Source organism: Homo sapiens, chromosome 9, assembly GCF_000001405.40.
Source record: "Homo sapiens chromosome 9, GRCh38.p14 Primary Assembly".
NCBI lineage: Eukaryota > Metazoa > Chordata > Mammalia > Primates > Hominidae > Homo > Homo sapiens.
Window position 1 is genome coordinate 92,840,009 of NC_000009.12, and position 18,039 is coordinate 92,858,047.

Below are 18,039 nucleotides of genomic sequence, written 5' to 3' on the forward strand. Positions count from 1 at the left end.
TGCACTCCAGTCTGGGCGATAGAGCAAGACTCAGTCTCAGAAAAAAAAAAAAAAAAAAGAGTAACAGCTACTTGTAGTGCGGGAGAGGTATATTTATACACTAATATTGGAAACATAAAAAGCTACAGTCTTAGGACAAAGAAATCTGGCAACATCTGTTAAAATAAAATAACACATACCATTTGATCAGTCCCACTCCTACAAGCATATGCTACAGAAAAAAATAATCTCTAGTACTTAAGGGCATGATTGTCCTTGTCCAATTGATTATCTGTTGACAGACTGTTGGAGTGGTTGGAATTGCTATGAATGGAAGTTCAAAAATCAAGAAGACATAAAATACATTATAAAAGTTACAGTTAGGCCAGGTGTGGTGGCTCATGCCTATAATCTCAGCAATTTGGGAGGCTGAGGCAGGAGGACTGCTTGAGGCCAGGAGTTTGAGACTGACCTGGGAAAAATAGCAAGACCCTGTCTCTAAAAAACTAAAAAAATTAGCAGGTGTGGTGGCGTGTGCCTGTAGTCCCAGCTACTCTATAGGCTAGGACAGGAGGATCACTTGAGCCCAGGGGTCGAGGCTGCAGTGAGCCAGGATTGTGCCACTGGACTCCCATCTGGGTGCCTGGGCGACAGATTGAAATCCTGTCTCTAAAGTAAATAAATAAAGTCACATTTATGCCAAGTTATATATGTATGCATGTGTGTGTGTACGTAAATATTTATTTTAATAGAAAGGAAAGTGTTGGATGGTCTGTTTTTCTCCACTGGTTTGAGACATGGGCTTGAAGTTAAATCAGTAAACAAAATGAACTATGTTTATTATGAAATCTGCTTCTATAGGAAGACCTTTTCCAATGTATCAAATAGAGCTTCTTCTCTATTTGAATTTTATGGCATTTAATAAGACGATATATTCTTACAAAACCTATTCTTAACAATTACTTGTCTGGTATACAGTAAGCTGTGACTCACAGATGAAGATTTTTCCATATACAATATATAATGTACAGTAATCACAGGGCTTCTCTGTAGTATGAATAATTTAAAACTGGTTCTGACTTCTGTGAAAAGACTTTCTCACTTTCAAGAAATACAATTTCACTCGTGTAAATACTGAAGAATACTAAAACCTGATTTCTGTGTGAAGCTACTGCCACATTTGCTCTTAACCCTGTCTCCTTCTGGTAGAAACTTTCTGATATATTCCAAGTGAAGTGTTTTCCAGTCACTGTTCTTATAGGCTTTGTTCTCCAAATTGTGTTTTTAGTGTATAATGGGATTTGAATTATTTTTTCTCATGTGTGAATTTACTATGTTCAGGTCATTAACTTTTCAGTGGAAGATTTCCTAGTCATCATATTCATAAAGTTTCTCTCCAGCATGAATTTTCTGATATGTAATGAGGTATGACTTGTAAAGAAAACCCTACCCACATTCAGTACAAACAGAAAATTACTCTCCCTTATGAATTATCTGATGCATACGTAAATGTTTGAGTGTATGTTTTCGTATATTTTCTGAATACACAGTATGATTCACTTTTTAAAAATTAATTTAAAATGCATTTTTGGCTAGGTGCTGTGGCTCACATCTGTAATCCCAGCACTTTGGGAGGCCAAGATGGGAGGACTGCTTGAAACCAGGAGTTTGAGACCAGCCTGGGGAACAAAGTGAGGCCTCATCTCTAACAAAAAAACAAAACAAAACAAAAAGGGCTGGGCACAGTGGCTCACGCCTGTAATCCTAGCACTTTGGGAGGCTGAGGCGGGTGGATCACCTGAAGTCAGGAGTTCGAGACCAGCCTGACCAACATGGTGAAACCCTGTCTCTACTAAAAATACAAAAAAAATTAGCAGGGCGTAGTGGTGTATGCCTGTAGTCCTCACTACTTGGGAGGCTGAGGCAGGAGAATCGCCTGAACCCGGGAGGCAGAGGTTGCAGTGAGCCAAGGTTGCACCATTGCACTCCAGCCTGGGCAACAAGAGCGGAAACTCTGTCTCAAGAAAAAAAAAAGCCAGGTGTAGTGGCACATGCCTGTGGTCCAAGCTACTTGGAAGGATAAGGCAGGAAGGTTGCTTGAGCCAAGGAGTTCAAGGCTACAGTGAACTATGATCATACCACTCCACCCGGGGTGACAGAGTGAGACCCTGTCACTAAAAAAAAAAAATTAAAATTAATAAAATAGAATAAAATGCATTTTTATTAAAATATTTAAACTGTAAAACTGTCTTAAAATAGTTTGCTGTAAATGAACTATAATAGAGTGCTGGCATAAAAAGATATGGCTGGCTGGGCCATGCCTGTAATCCCAGAACTTTGGGAGGATGAGGTGGGTGGATCACTTGAGGCCAGGAGTTCGAGACCAGCCTGGCCAACATGGCGAGACCCTGTCTCTCCTAAAAATACAAAAATTCGCTGGGCGTTGTGGTGCATGCCTGTAATCCCAGCTACTTGGGAGGCTGAGGCATGAGAATCACTTGAACCCAGGAGGTGGAGGTTGCAGTGAGCCAAGATTGCCCGCCATTGCACTCCAGCCTGGGTGACAGAGCAAGACTCTGTCTCAAAAAAAAAAAATAAATAAATAAAAAAGATACGGCTAACCTACAGTGTTTTCCCTAGTAAAGTCTATATTCCACATGCTTCCAATCTATACTGACCTTTGAGTTCTACTTAACATTTAGCTCTCCCAATTCACTTATAGTTTTCCACCATTTATTCCTCAATCAGTTCACAAGTGCCCCTTGAGACGCAAGAAATCTCACAGAAGAAAGTCTTTCTTTCTTCTAGAGATTAATACTGTGTTGACAAAAGGTCAAGTAGCTCTTTTATAGTTTCTTCTTTTTCTTGGGAGTATAACATTCTATTTTTTAAAATGTGCCTGAGAATAAAGGTTGAGAATCACTATCTCAGTTATCCTACTAAGTTAATTTTTCAAACCCTGGGACTCTATACCAGTCTTCATTAACCCCATTTTCTATTAATTGTACAAAGGAAAAGCCATAGTATTAAAAAAGACATCTGAGAAGCTTTTAGTGAATCTCTTCCATTTGCTAAATTTGGCAGCTACCACAATAAAATCTGAAACCACCAGAGGTAATTTTCTCTTACGTATCAAAGTTTGTAAAGGTTTTTTTTTTTTTTTTTTTTTTTTTGAGATGGAGTCTCGCTCTGTCGCCCAGGCTGGAGTGCAGTGCTGCGATTTTGGCTCACTGCAAGCTCCGCCTCCTGGATTAACGCCATTCTCCTGCCTCAGCCTCCCGAGTAGCTGGGACTACAGGTGCCCACCATCACGCCCGGCTGATTTTTTGTATTTTTAGTAGAGACAGGTTTTCACCGTGTTAGCCGGGATGGTCTCGATCTCCTGACCTCATGATCCACCCGCCTCGGCCTCCCAAAGTGCTGGGATTACAGGAGTGAGCCACCGCGCCTGGCTGTAAAGGTTTTAACAAATGGGTGAATGCCTTAAGACTTTTAGCAACAAAAGATTGGAATAAAGTAATGCTGCAAATCTAAGCATTTTCATTTACAAGTCAGTAATTTTGGAAATTAAGAAAATATATTTTTGGTCTTGATACTTCTTAAATACAAGTAGCTATCTCAACGAATTAAAAACATCTGCCAGTGGCAGAGTAGGTGGTACAGACTAGTACTTCCTTTGGGAACTAAAAAAGGTGAATGAAAATATTAAACATATTTAATTTTTTGAAGGCATAAGAAAGCTACCACGGCAGTGAGAAACTGCAGGAATAAAATTGGAGACAAGACATAAAGTCTCATATTTGGGACATAATGTCTGAAACTGTTTATTACTAAGAGGTATTTGCTAATTCTGACAGCAAATACTGGGCAAGAGAGGCTGGAGAGAATTTTTGACAAATTCAAGTGACCGAAGGAGAAATACTAGAATTCAAGTCTTTCCAAAGAGGAGGGGCCTGATGTACCTCCCGAACTCCTAAGTCCTAAAAGTATCCTAGAAATAAGGTTTAGATGTTCACATTCTGAACATATAATAAAATAAGATGAGTCTTCTAGAGACTCAAGCCCAGTTTCAAATTATCTTAATACATGACTGGATAAAGGCAATCAGGGATTACTAGTGATCATAGCCTAAGAAGCTATGTTAGAAGCTATGGCAAATCCTCTCTGGAAGAAGATATTATCCAGACCATCTTATTACCTCTAAAATTTTAATATATATTGTCTGGCAAGTGATATAAAAATCACCATATGAGGAGATAGGACATCAGCAAAATTCAAGAAAAATAACCATTAGAAAACAGGCCAACAGAACTGGGTAATAAGGTTATCCCTAAAAGAAACAGAGAAGGAGAATGAGGCAGATGCATAATTTGAATAGATAATAGCTAGGAATTTCCCCAAATGCACATGTGCACACACGTACACGCACACGTGCACACACACACCCCAAAACCACTAAACCACAGATTTAAAAAACATTATAAACTCCAAGGAGGATAAATACATGGAAAAATTACACCTAGGCATATCAATGTGCAACAGTTAAAAAACAAAGACAAATAGATAAATTTCAAAGGAGACAGAAAAGCAGATTGCCTGCAAAGGTAATTATATAAAGCTTCTCAATAAAACAATAAAAGACAAACCAAAATAAAATATCATCAAAATACTAATAGAAAACAACTTTCAACTTAGAATTCTATATTCAGTAAAAGTATCCTTCAAAAATGAAGGCAAAATAAAACACTGCCAACAAATGAAGAACAATTTGTCACCACCAAACTCACAGTAAAAGAAATACTAAAGGGTGTTCCTCAGTAAGAAGCAAAATAATTCTAGAGGAAAACTTAAAGGACAGGAAGGAATAAAAAAGTAATTAAAATGATAAATATGTGGGTTAATTTAAATGGATATTGACTCAAATAATGATTGGCTATGTTCACCATGTACAGAATCCAAATATACAAAATTAATACCATATAAGAGACAAATAAATGAAATTATAATGTTATAACTTCTCCCCTTGTCCAGAAATGTTAGTACTAATTTACATTAGCTTTTAATCCATATGTATATTAGTATCTGACATAGTACATTTAAGGCAAAAAATTACTAGAGATAAAAAGAAACATCTAATAATGATAATGTGTCAATTAACCAGGAAGATTACAACAATTCTAAATTGTATGTAAAATCAAAGACAAAATATATAAAGCAAAAATTAGTAGCTCTAAAGGAGACAAATTCACAATTATTTGTAAAATTACAACACAGTTCTTTCAGTATTTGATAGAAGAAAAGACAAAAAAGTCTATTCAAATACAGAGAATTTGAAAAACAAAATTAATTAAGATTAGTTTGTAGAGATTGTGAGGAGATAAAAGGAGAAGTCTTCCAAATGTTCAACTACATTTTATCTTCTAAGGACACAAACTAAAATTCAAGATGCTTGTGTCTCATGGTAATCTAGCAAGTAACGAACATGTAGAGAATGTACTAACAAAATTAGTGGGAAAAAATTTTAGGATTTGATATCCATTTTCTTAATTTGTCCTATTTTTCAAACAGGAGTTGGTAACAACAACATCAAAAAAGTGCAGGTTTCTGTGGTGAAAGCTGAGGATCTAAAGTGCTGCTATCTAGACCTGGGTCCCTGTATCTAAGTTCCATGATCGTAGGGCCAGTTCTAAGGTAATAATATAGACTTTTGAGAAATAGGCAAAGAGCAATTTCAGACCTCTTGGCTAACTGCTGCCCCAGCATACGCCAACAGATATAACAATAAATAATGGTGACTTCCCAAAGAAAATTTTAAAAAAAGTAGAGTCCTTTCTTTCTGTCTTTAGTGTTTTCACAAAAACTGCTGATTCACTTTCATTATAGACCTAAATTGCCCTCTCTTTGCCTTGATCTCAGTGTCCTTAGGCTGCTTAGACAATGTAAAATTATCTCATCATACTACTCATTATGAATTTTTGCGGGTCAATATTGAATAGTTGTGGTACCCAGAACATGAAAAACTCAACAGCCATGAATTTATAAAACTGTTTGCCCAAAAAGTGAAACAAGAAAGACTGCCAATCATCTCCTTGCACATTTACTATTATTTGCAGGAGCTTGACAACACCAATATCAAGTAACCAAAGATGGCCACTATACATTGCTTAAACACTCTCAAAAGTGTCTCCCCATATGTGTAACTACACATCAGCTATATGATCCAGATGTTCATAATTCTAACTAGATAGAAGAAAGTTGGCCTTGGTCACCTTCTGAGTCCCCACACCATAATTGTGGCATGGAGCACTCTACTTCCCCATTGTCAGATTTCTGAGGCATACTGAGTTGTGGCTTCCAGTTTAAGGCTTTCCCCAAGTCACTGCACTTATAGGGTTTCTGTTTAGTATGAATTTTCTGGTGTTTAATAAGATTTGATCTGATGGTGAAGGCCTTTCCACACTCAGCACATATATATGGTTTCTCTCCTGTGTGAATTCGATGATGCTCATGGAGTTGTGATTTCTTAATGAAAGACTTGCCACAGTCACTGCATTCATAGGGTTTCTCTCCAGTATGAATTCTCCTGTGTCTATTTAAGTGTGACTTCTGGATGAAGGATTTCCCACATTCATTACAAATATAGGGTTTCTCTCCTGTATGAATTCTCTGATGCATAATTAGTGTTGATTTTCTTGCAAAGGCTTTCCCACATTCACTGCACTCATAATGCCTTTCTCCAGTATGGGATTGCTGATGTATATGGAGACCTGACTTCCTAGTGAAGGCTTTCCCACAGTCACTACATTTATAAGGTTTCTCTCCAGTGTGAATTTTCTGGTGTGTAAAGAGATTTGATCTGTCAGTAAAAGCCTTTCCACATTCAGCACACCTATAGGGTTTCTCTCCTGTGTGAATCTGCTGATGTACGTGGAGCTGTGATTTCTTAGTGAAGGATTTCCCACAAATACTGCATTCATAGGGTTTCTCTCCAGTATGAATTCTCTCATGTGTAATAAAATGGGATTTGTGGAAGAAGGCCTTACCACATTCAGTGCAAACATATGGTTTTTCCCCTCTATGAATTCTCTGGTGCATACTTAATGTTGACTTCTGAATGAATGCTTTCCCACATTCACTGCATTCATAATGTCTCTCTCCAGTATGACACTTCTGATGTATCCTGAGCCGAGACTTCCAGGTGAATGATTTTCCACAGTCGCTGCATTTATAAGGTTTCTCTCCAGTATGAATTTTTTGGTGCTTAATGAGATTTGACCTGTCAGTAAAGGCCTTACCACACACAGTACATATATAGGGTCTTTCTCCTGTATGAATTTTCTGGTGTATAATGAGATTTGTCTTGTGAGTGAAGACCTTCCCACATTCTGAACATATAAAGGGATTCTCTCCTGTGTGAATTCGCTGATGCACATGGAGTTGTGATTTTTTAATAAAGGATTTCCCACAGTCACTGCATTCATAGGGTTTTTCTCCAGTATGAATTCTTTCATGTGTGATAAAATGTGACTTCCGGATAAAGGCCTTCCCACATTCAGTACATACATAAGGTTTTTCTCCTGTATGGATTTTCTGATGCATACTTAGTGTTGATTTCCTTGTGAAAGCTTTTCCACATTCAGTACATTCAAAGTGTTTCCCTCCAGTATGAATTTTTTTATGTATATTAAGGTTTGAATTCTGAGGGAGGTTTTTCTCACATTCACTGTACTCATAAGGTTTTTCTCCAGAATGAATTCTCTGGCATCTGAACAGATCTGACTTCTGGATAAAGGCTCTTCCATAGTCACTGCATTTATAGTAATTCCCCTCATAAGGAGTTTTCTGACGGTTTGACTTGAGGGAAAAATCCTTCTCATATTCAGTGCATATTCCTGCATAAACCCTCTGACTGCCATCAAGCTGGGACTTCTGAGTGAAGACTGCCTCACATTCATGGCATTCATGCTGCTTTTCTTCAGCACAAATACTCTCATGTGCAAAGGCATGTGACTTCGGGGAGAAAACATTTACGTAGTCAGAAAACAAATAGAGGCTCTCTCTAGTATGAATTTTCTGTTGTTGAATGAGAGCTTGCTTATGATGCAGAGGTTTCCCACATTGGTTACATTCACAAGCAGTCACTTCTGTATGAGAATTCAAATGAGTGAAAATATCACCATCTCCAATAGTCTTATCAGAATTTTCTGTTGCATTGTTTCTATTATATAAGGTTATGATAGGCTCCAAATTCTTTCCACACGAGTTACAGTTATGGGGTCTTTTTCTTGAGGAAACCAGGTGTGTGTTTACATGAACTATTTCCCCAATGTCCTTATATTCAAAGATGCTGTCATTAGCTAGTGTTTTCTTGTTAATGAAGACAACACGACTTAAAGGTTTGTTCTGGTTTTCTCCACATTTTCTTGTGTGTTCATCGTCTTTCCACAATTCTTCTAAAATGGAATATGGGTCATCTCTTGTGAAGAGATTAATATTAATCTCAGACTGGAAAGAAACTTCTTCAGACATCCTCTGTTGTAAAGGTCCAAAACCAATGTCCCCATCTAAAAAAGAAAGAAAAGATAAGACTGACAAAAAGAACAATTAACAGAAAATAAGGCCAGGTGCGGTGGCTCATGCCTGTAATCCTAGCACTTTGGGAGGCTGAGGTGGGCAGATCACTTGAGGCCAGGAGTTTGAGACCAGCCTGGCCAGCATAGCAAAACTCTGTCTCTGCTAAAAAACACTCAAAATATTGTCTCTACTAAAAATTAGCCAGGCGTGGTGGTACATGCCTGTAATTCCAGCTACTCAAGTGGCTGAGGCAAGAGAATGGCTTGATGGCTTGAAGGCAGAGGTTGCAGTGAGCTGAAATTGCGCCATTGCACTCTAGTCTGGGTGACAGAGCAAGACTCTGTCTCCAAAATAAATAAATAAATAAATAAATAAATAAATAAATAAATAAATAAAAATACAATAGACCTTTGATTCAGGCCGGGTGTGGTGGCTCACGCCTGTAAGCCCAGCACTTTGGGAGGCTGAGGCAGGCGGATCACCTGAGGTCAGGAGTTGAAGACCAGCCTGGCCAACATGGAGAAACCTCATCTCTACTAAAAATACAAAATTAGCCGGACATGGTGGTGCATGCCTGTAATCCTAGCTACTCAGGAGGCTGAGGCAGGAGAATCACTTGAACCCAGGAGGCAGAGGTTGCGGTGAGCCGAGATCTTGCCATTGCACTCCAGCCTGGGCAACAAGAGCGAAACTCTATCTCCAAAAAAAAAAGAGTTGATTCAAGGCAGACACAGAGATATGAGAGAGACTATATAAATATAACAAATGTACATAAGTATTTTAAATATACATAAATATATAGGTATAATAACTCATTTATATATAATATGTAATACAATGATGTAGAGTAATAATATTAATACTAACATTTATAACATGATAAACAATATCATTTAGATGTGCTGTTCTAAGTTCTATATTAATTCACTTAAACTTTATCACGGCCCGGTGTGGTGGTTCATGCCTGTAATCCCAGCACTGTGGGAGGCTGAGATGAGAGGATTGCTTGAGCCCAGGAGTTTGAGACCAGCCTGGGAAACATAGTGAGACCCCCATCTCTACAGAAAAATGAAAAAACAATTAGCTGGGCCTAGTGGCACATGCCTATAGTCCCAGCTACTTAGGAGGCTGAAGCAGGAGGATCACTTGAGCCCAGGTGTTTGAAGCTGCAGTGAGCTCTGATCGCACCATTACACTCCAGCCTGGGTGACAGAGTGAGACTCTGTCTCTCTCTCTCTCTTTTTTTTTTTTCTTTTTTAAGACAGGGTCTCACTCTGTTGCTCAGGCTAGAGTGTAATGGCATGATCAGAGCTCACTGCAACCTCCACCTCCTGAGTTCAAGGGATTCTTGTGCCTCAGCCTCATGAGTGGCTGGAACTACAGGCATATGCCACCACAACTGGCTAATTTTTGTATTTTTAGTAGAGACGGGGATTCACCATGTTGGCCAGGCTGGTCTCAAACTCCTGACTTCAAGTATCTGTCCGCCTCGGCCTCCCAAAATGTTGGGATTACAGGCGTAAGCCAGCAAGCCCAGCCAAGACCCTGTCTCTTAAAAACAAAAACAAAAAGCACTTTATTGTAACCCTTTGCTGTTGGTATTATTATTGTTTCTAGTTTACAGATGAGGAAACTGAGCCACAGAAGAGTTTAGTTAAATTTGCCCAAATCAAATGTTTAGTAATTGGGGAAGAAGAGATTGCAATTCAGTGCAAATGTAGTAGAACTACATGGTGAGTGAGGTGTCAGAAGAACAAAGTGATAAACTCTGTGAAAAGAAGTATTTCTGAGTCTAGATTCTTTTCCTTAATCTGTAAATCCTCACAATCTTCCTGTTTTCTCTTCTCCCTATGATCCACTGTGCCCTAAATACCAATGTATTTATGTTTACAGTAAAATTACGATATCTTAGTCATCCTAACTTGGCCAAACAGAAAAATTTATATACATTTGTTATATTTATATAGCCTCTCTCATTTATCTGTGTTTTCCTTGAATCAACTCTATGTAACAATTGGTCTATTTTCTTTTGAGATGGAGCCTCACTCTATCACCCAGGCTGGAGTGGCTGGAGTGCAATGGCGCGATCTCGGCTCACTGCAACCTCCGCCTCCCGGGTTCAAGCAATTCTCCTGCCTTAGCCACATGAGCAGGTGGGACTACAGACATGTGCCGCCATACATGTATTTGTAAAAATACAAATTTTTGTATTTTTAGTAGAGATGGGGTTTCACCATGTTGGCCAGGCTGGTCTCAAACTCCTGACCTCAAGTGATCTGCCTGCCTCAGCCTCCCAAAGTGCTGGGATTACAGGTGTGAGCCACCGTGTCTGGCCTATGGTTCAATTCTTCATCCCTGGTTTGGGGTACTGATGTGATAAATGCATCTGGTAGAAGACATAACAGGAAAGAACTAGACATCAGAAGAGAAGACTGAAAGTTGTTCATCAAACCTGTGCCCTTCCTTCACAATATTAAGCTTGTAGCCAAGCACATGGCTGCTTCACAACACTAGGTTTGTTCAGCTTCATTTGTCACTAGGTGGCACTGAGTAACTCTTTTTCACTCATCAGTGGAAGTGATAAGGCCAATGTCTTAAGAAAGTGGGTTTGTCTCCTACAAACCTCTTCTTTTCCCACCAGTATATTCCAACTTGGCAGCACCCAGTTCTATGAAGCTGGCAATGCCCTAGGGCAGGGGTCAGAAAACTGAAGCCCTTGGGCCAAATCCAGGCCTCTATCCAAAAGCTAACAATGTATTTTACATTTTTAAATGGTCAAAAAATTAAAAGAAGAATACTACTTCACGACATATGAAAATTATATGAAATTCAAATTTCAGTGTCCATAAAGTTTTTATTGGAACACAGCCACACCCATACATTGATGTATTGTCTATAGCTGCTTTGGGGCTACAACTGCAGAAATAAGCAGTTGTGACAGTAGCCATATGGTCCACAAAGCCTATTTACTTTTGTGCCTTTACAAAAAATTTGTCAGCCCTTGCCCTAGGGGATGGTGGTACAATGACTTTCTAGAAACTTTGTCCCTGAACGGCCATGGAAACAGAGTTGCCCGGTGTTATGGCCATCGAAAAGGGACTAACACACATCTTTCCATTAGTCACTGCAGTCTATTTTATCAATGAACCCAAACATACAGTCTTTTCATTTTCTCCATTTAAGCTTCCTTTTTCTGATCTTTTGTTTCTATCAAAAATTCATTGTTCTTCATTAATCATTTGGGGTTCTCTGCTTTAAAAGCTAATTTCAAATTTCACCACAACTCTAGAGAGGCTCTCTTTTAACTTAAAAACAAACAACAAAAAGGTACTCTGAACCACTCATATTTATATTTGAATTGGCATAGATGTGCACGTTAACAAAAGTGTAATGCACAAAGACTGAAATTTTCAAGATTTCATGCAGTTATCCTCTTTCCAATTAGTTTTTCTAGCCCTTTGAATTGCTCCTAAAAGAAAAATTTTAAAATCTTTCTGAAATAGAGCAAAACGACCTCCTCTGCTTATAACACAAATTCAGGAATTTAATTTCACTATTTTCTACAGAAACTTTGCATTTTAATGTACAAGAGTAAAAGCCTCAGTTATCATGTAATTTAATGTAGGTTTCTCTGAATTTCTGGAGGTTGTATGCTGCAATAGGTCAAATTCAAGGAGTAAGTGAAAGCTGAGCACAAAATATGTGTATTATTTGGTTTTTTGTTTGTTTTTGTTTTTGTTTTTGTTTTCTGAGATAGAGTCTCACTTTGTTGCCCAGGCTGGAGTGCAGTGGCACGATCTCGGCTCACTGCAAGCTCCGCCTCCTGGGTTCACACCATTCTCCTGCCTCAGCCTCCCAAGTAGCTGGGACTACAGGCGCCTGCCACTATGCCTGGCTAATTGACCTTGTGATCCACCTGCCTCAGCCTAAAGTGCTGGGATTACAGGCGTGAGCCACCACGCCCAGCCTTTTTTTTTTTTTTTTTTTTTTTTGAGACGGAGTGTCGTTCTTGTCACCCAGGCTGGAGTACAGTGGCGCGGTCTCAGCTCACTGCAACCTCCACCTCCTGGGATCAAGTGATTCTCCTGCCTCAGCCTCCTGAGTAGCTGGGATTACAGGCCCCTGCCACCTCGCCTGGCTAATTTTCATACTTTTAGTAGAGATGGGGTTTCGCCATGTTGGCCAGGCTAGTCTCAAACTCCTGACCTCAGGTAATCCACCCACCTCAGCCTCCCAAAGTGGTGGGATTACAGGCGTGAGCCACTGTGCCCAGCCAAAATATGTGTATTATTTGAATACGCAGATAGATAACATAATAATCAAAGGGCTCGATGAAAAGGGAGAATTAAAGAAAATCTTAAAATAGGATAGAAATGGTTATAGAAAACAGGGACAAATGTGAATTGCAAATATGAGGCCATATTCTTTCTCTAGCTTACAAACCTACTGAGAGGAGAATCTGTCACATGTTAGATATTAAGTAGTAACTTTAGTTTTCTTCCATGTAGCTATGACAGGATAAACACAGCACACAATGTTTTAAGTAGTGAAATCTATCAGCAGCATCTGAGATGAAATAGTGAAAAAGAAAGAATGGGATTATCACATACAAATAGGATTAGAATAATCTAGGCATGAGAAAACACAGACATGGTTGTAGGTGATATGACTGGGAGGTAAGAAAGAGGCTTTTGTAAATGAGAAAAATAAGTAGAAAAGCAGAATGAATTATCTGAGAAGATGGATTAGAGGGAAAAGTAAAAAAACTCCAAGAGAAGATGACAACATTTTGAAAGGCAAGCCACCTGCTTTTACATGCTACATTGTATCTTGTCTTCCTTCACACAAACAGCCAGACCCTTAAATGCAAACAGTATTGGTCTTTCCCCTGAGTGCTGTATACAATAGGGCCAATGCCTGACTGAGACACACAAATAACAGTCACAGAGTAAAAGTTGTTCCCATGAGCCAATTATCACTCAGAGCTTATGCTGCAGCTGAGACACATAATCTAAGACACAGATTATGCTGGGCTGAGACACATGGACCTGGGCAACTTTAAGGAGGGCCCAAAGCCCTTACACCTGCCTCTAAATGTCCATGATAACTTCTAATGTAGGTTAGTTATGTATAGGACAGAGGCAAAGTGCATACTTGCCAGCAGGCAGTATAACCAGTTGGGAAGAGGAGAAAGACCCCTGTGGGGGTGGTCATTGCCTTGACATCCTGCTTATTGCCCCAGCTGTAAATGACCTGCAAGGAGAAATGGACCCCACCCCAAACTTGGTTCAGATGTCAAGAGTGACGATGAGACACACACAATAAGAGGGTGTAAAAAGATTTGTTACTCACATAATGAGGCTTTCTGGGGACAGCTCCAAGCAGGTCCAGATGGGGCTAGAGTGAGCAAGGAAAGGACTGTCTTGGGAGTTTATGGCAGGGGCGGGTGGGGCTGGGCTAACTATTCCCTTATGTAGTTGGAATTTCCCAGCAACAATGGAGGGAACTCATGGGCTTTTTTCTCAGTTTGTCCAGGAAAAAAAGAGAGAGAGATGAGGCTTAGAAAACATCAGCAGTTGAACATCAAAAATGAAGGATACAGAATGAGATGTTCAAAGTATTTTATTAGGGAAATACAAATTAAATAATAATTAGAAATTAAAACCCATCAGATTAGCCAAAATATTAAAAATTTGGATAATACTAGGTATGGGTAGGGATGTGGGGAACTAATACCCTTGTACAAAGTTCCAGGGACCGTAGAGTGACACAGCCAATCTGGAAAATAATGTGCTTATACCTCATCATATTCAATATTAGTATGCCCAATGATAAAGCAATCCCACTCCTCTTCCTTAAGAAATTCTCATTTCCGGCTGGGCGTGGTGGCTCCCGCCTATAATCTCAGCACTTTGGGAGTCCAAGGCGGGTGGATCACGAGGTCAGGAGATCGAGACCATCCTGGCTAACATGGTGAAACCCCGTCTCTACTAAACATACAAAAAATTAGCTGGGTGCAGTGGCGGGCGCCTGTAGTCCCAGCTACCGGGGAGGCTGAGGCAGGAGAATGGCGTGAACCTGGGAGGTGGAGCTTGCAGTGAGCTGAGATCATGCCACTGCACTCCAGCCTGGGGGACAGAGCGAAACTCCATCTCAGAAAAAAATAAATAAATAAATTATCATTTCCAGTAAGAATAATTCATGAAGAAATGTATTGCAGTACTGTTTGTAGTAGCTGAAAAACTGGACAAGTAAAATGGGGTATATATGTGCACTACAGAATGATATGTAGAAATTAGAATAATGCACTGCAACATGGACCAATTTGAGAAAAAAAAACTTGAGTAGGATATATAATACAGTACCATTTCTACAAATTAACAATGCCAACAACTCAGATTTTATAAATATCCCAGAAATTCAAGGATAAATGGCATAACATGTCAAATATATTAGAACAGTTGCCTCTTGGAAGGATAAAAATGAGTATGGAGACTGAGGATTAAAAAGAATAAATAAGAGGGGAGCCTTAAACACATTGATGATGATATTGACTAAAAACTAAGGCTATAATTATTAACTCAATCTTCTGTACAGGATATACCTGTACACTAGATAAAAAACTTTGTGTAAGATATGAAAATAAATAAATTAGAAAGATCAAGTCAGTGTTGCGTTGCACTAGCCAAGTAGGAAGAAAATGTCAATGGTACTCTCAAAGTCAACAATCAGAGAAGAGGCATGGGGGGACTTCAGACAAGCCCATCTCTAGATGACAATTGTGAGGCACTAAGGGGAAAGAGACAAAATGAGAAGAAACAGCAGGAGCTGAAGTTGTAATGCATAGTAATGTTTTCAGAAGGTAGATCTATGAGTATTTGAATGCATAAGGAAATGATCTAAGACCTTGATGGAGGTAGAAAGAATAAAACTTTTCTAGGGAAAGAGAGAAAAAAGCAAGAAAACAGGACCCTAGAAAGTAGAGTGTGACATGATCCAAAGAACCAGTAATTGTAGCATATTCCCTCCTAAAAAGCCAAGCAAAGAAGAAGGCATTGATATGAGAAGGGATCTTAAGTGGGGTTAGCATTTAGCTATCCAAGGGTCCTTGTCTAATAACTGCTCTTCCAAGCAGTTCTAAAAGTCATTATTAATGACACATCAAAGTTGGGCAAAGTTGGGCACAGCTTCTCCCAGTACAAATGCAGCTGAGTCATACTGTCTACCATGCTCTTGGTTCCCTTCTCACCTGGACGGCTCTGACTGGGGATCTCACCATCCAACATACATGGCTCTTCTTGTTCCAAGCTGAAGATGACTTCTGGTTTGGGAACTTGACATCCTGTTAACAGGGGATGATAGAGGACTTGATTTCAGAGGCCATACAATGAAGCATTCCATTTTTTTCCCAAAAAAGTTCACTGGGAACAGAGGAATATTCACACTACCCGAAAGAGATTATTAAGAACATGGGACAAAATAAGGACAAAACCATTACACACTTTAGATGTCCTGCAGTCTTTAGAAGTCCCACATACCTCAGAAAACACAGACTTCAGCAATTCTACTGAGAAGAAAAATATACTCAATTAGGTGCAGCCTACTCTATACCCAGCAGAGCCGTGCTTACCCACTGAGATCAAGTTGAAATAGTTTTCCAGCATCACTTCTCTGTACAGGCTTTTCTGAGCAAGGTCTAATTGTTGCCACTCATCCCTACTGAAGTCTACAGTTACGTCCTTGAATGACACTGATTCCTGTTAAAAAAAAAAAACAAACTTTAAAATAATTTTTTAAAGAATATATTTGAATTCAAAAAAAAAAACCTTTCAATGTGAAGGATCGAGATTACAGAATGGAAACAAGATAGGACCTTATTTTTAATGTGATACAATATACTATAAAGAACTTCTACAATTCAACGACAACGAACAAAATAATTTTAAAAATGGGTAAAAAGCTTAAATAGACATTTCTGCAAGGAAGATATACAAATATTTAACAAGCACATGTAAAGATGCTCAACGTCATTAATCACTAGGGAAATGCAAATTAAAACTACAAGATATTACCTCACACCCATCTGGATGATAAAGAAAATGTCTAAAATTGATTATAATGATGGCTGTACAACTGAGTGAATACACTAAAAATCAATACATGGTACACTTTTTTTTTGAGACAGAGTCTCGCTCAGTCGCCCAGGCTGGAGTGCAGTGGCTCGATCTCCACTCACCGCAAGCTCTGCCTCCTGGGTTCACGCCATTCTCCTGCCTCAGCCTCCTGAGTAGCTGGGACTACAGGCGCCCGCCACCACGCCCAGCTAATTTTTAAAAATTTTTTTAGTAGAGACGGGGTTTCACCGTGTTAGCCAGGATGGTCTCGATCTCCTGACCTCGTGATCCGCCCGCCTCAGCCTCCCAAAGTGCTGGGATTACAGGCATGAGCCACGACACCCAGCCTAATATGGTACACTTTAAATGGTAAACTGTGTGGTGTATGAAGGAGAGGGCTCTTTTTCAGCACTGCCATTTCCAGATGAGATGCAGTAGCTTGGCAGTCCAGTGCTTCCTTCAACAATGAACTGTAAATGCCAGACGCAATACTTGAAATCATCTGTTTCAAAGCACTGGAAAGCTGCTGAGGTAGCAAGAAATATAGGGGCTAAGACTGGAGAGGAGAGAATATTAAAGATTGAAGCTGACTTATTCAGTCACTCTGACAGTGGGAGCATTTACCAATTCTGGCTGTGGACAAAAGCTGAGAATCCAGCTTTTGTCCTGGATTCTCATTTTGTCCTGTCTACTGGAGAATGCAGTAGAAGGCTGCAGCTGGGTGACAGAGAAACCAACATAACTCAAACACATGGCCATTTTCCCCTCAGGATATTTGCTGAATTCTAGGGTATATAGGGCAGTAGACTAAAAATGTAAGCAAACAGCCTTTGAAGAACAGAGCAAAAGTCTAGTATCTGTTAAGAAAATAGTTGGGCATCTATCAGGAAGAGGGTCTTTAGAGGACAAAAGGGCTCTCAGCTGAAAATTCTCAGGAGCCAGGGTGATCCAGAGGTAAAGTGAGTCTTAGCAGAGCTTCAACCCGGCCTTATTTCAACATCAACAGTGCCTGACTGGATGTACGTGTTCTCCCTTCCCTCCATTTGCTAACATAAGGAAAGATGAATCCTCTGTGGAGAAAGATTTTTTTTTTCTTTTCTTCTGAGACAGGGTCTTGCTCTGTCATCCAGGCTGGAGTGCAGTGGCACAAACACGACTCACTGCAGCCTCGACCTGGGCTCAAGCAATCCTCCTGTCTCAGCCCCACAAGTAGCTGGGACTACAGGCACATGCTACCATGCCCAGCTAATTTGTCTATCTTTTGTAGAGATGGGTTTTGCCATGTTGCCCAGGCTGGTCTGGGACTCCTGAGCTCAAGTGATCTGTCCCCCTCAGCCTCCCAGGTATGAGCCCTGCCTACAACTTATTATAC

The 18,039-nt window shown here is 39.7% G+C and overlaps 1 protein-coding gene and 1 pseudogene across 14 annotated transcripts in view; both read right to left on the bottom strand.

The window, feature by feature from the left end:
• LOC100419515 (zinc finger protein 41 pseudogene) lies at positions 947–1,680 on the bottom strand (annotated as a pseudogene).
• The window catches only part of ZNF484 (zinc finger protein 484), a 33,857-nt gene continuing 19,991 nt past the window's right edge, over positions 4,174–18,039 (bottom strand). For 7 of the 14 annotated variants that reach the window (NM_001007101.4, NM_031486.4, NM_001261460.3 and 4 more), the window contains 3 exons: positions 16,184–16,310; positions 15,803–15,895; positions 4,174–8,543 (listed from right to left, as the gene is read on the bottom strand). In NM_001007101.4, coding sequence (NP_001007102.1) covers positions 6,220–8,543; positions 15,803–15,895; positions 16,184–16,217 — 2,451 coding nt within the window. In that variant the 5' untranslated portion in view covers positions 16,218–16,310 and the 3' untranslated portion in view covers positions 4,174–6,219. Of the gene's footprint in view, positions 8,568–13,905; positions 13,951–15,802; positions 15,896–16,183; positions 16,311–18,039 lie in introns of all 14 variants that reach the window. The other 7 variants (XM_006717299.4, XM_011519075.3, XM_017015178.2 and 4 more) reach the window with 2 other exon arrangements.